Consider the following 1,099-nt stretch of genomic DNA (forward strand, 5'->3'; position numbering starts at 1 on the left):
GGAATGTGGCATTTGTGGAGGTGGCCAGGCCGGTCAGCCAACTTGGCTGGGTTCTGGAAGGGTCTAGTCCATGGGCTCCCACCATATCCCAGGTGATTCTATCTGCTCAGAGTTCACAGGAACCACAGATTCCCACACCTTCATTCCCGAGGGGTGGGTGAGGGGGTGTCTACATGCTCCTTCTCAAGCACAGCTGTCATTTGTTCCAGCTTTGTCTCCCCATCCTGAATCCAGCACGAGGAGGTGTCTGGATCTCACACAGGATGCATTCACAGGGGCTGGGGTGGAAGGATCAATCAGCACCTTCAAATTCCAGCCCTCACTGCTGCCAAGACAGGGCACCACGTTCTCGCGCTCACAAAGACGATCCTGCACCAGAGCTGCATGAACAGGGCTTTCACCTTTTCATTTGCTCACTCATTCCTTCCATCAGAATCAATGGCTGCTTGCAGGACAAACAAAATGCACGTGCCTGCATGTGTGTGTCTGTGTGTGCTTGTGCATGTCTGTGTGCATGCCTATGTGTGTCTCTCTGTGCTCGTCCATGTGTGTGTGCATGCATGTGTGCCTGTGTGTGCATGCTATGTGTCTGTGTGTGCATGTGTGTGTGCATGCTGAGTCTGTGTGTGCATGTGTGTGTGCATGATATGTGTCTCTGTGTGTGCATGTGTGTGCCTGCATACATGTGTCTGTGTGTGCTCATGCATGTGTGTGCATGACTGTGTGTCTCTGTGTGTGCTTGTGCGTGCATGTGTGCACGCCTATGTGTGTCTGTGTGTGCTTGTGCATGCATGCCTATGTGTGTGTGTGCTTGTGCATCTGTGTGTACATGCCTATGTATGTCTGTGTGTGCTTGTGCATGACTGTGTGCGTGCCTGTGTGTGTGCTGTGCATGTGTGTGTGCATGTCTATGTGTCTGTGCGTGTGTGTGCATGCCTATGTGTGTCTGCTCATGCATGCATGTGTGCATGCCTGTGTGTCTGTGTGCTCGTGCATGCGTGTGTACATGTCTGTGTGTCTGCATGCTCACATGTGTGTGTGCGTGTGTATGTGTGTGTACACATACATGCATGTGTGCGTGCGTATGCTATTTCTCTCT

At 51.9% G+C, this 1,099-nt stretch overlaps 1 annotated feature.

The window, feature by feature from the left end:
• Window positions 253-754: an enhancer, noted in NCBI's record as "H3K4me1 hESC enhancer chr21:33905149-33905650 (GRCh37/hg19 assembly coordinates)". NCBI's record gives its function as "activates a minimal SCP1, AML or CMV promoter by ChIP-STARR-seq in primed H9 embryonic stem cells {active_cell/tissue: H9 hESC(primed)}" and the evidence as "EXISTENCE:reporter gene assay evidence [ECO:0000049][PMID:30033119]".

This window comes from Homo sapiens, chromosome 21 (assembly GCF_000001405.40).
Source record: "Homo sapiens chromosome 21, GRCh38.p14 Primary Assembly".
In the NCBI taxonomy this organism is placed as follows: domain Eukaryota; kingdom Metazoa; phylum Chordata; class Mammalia; order Primates; family Hominidae; genus Homo; species Homo sapiens.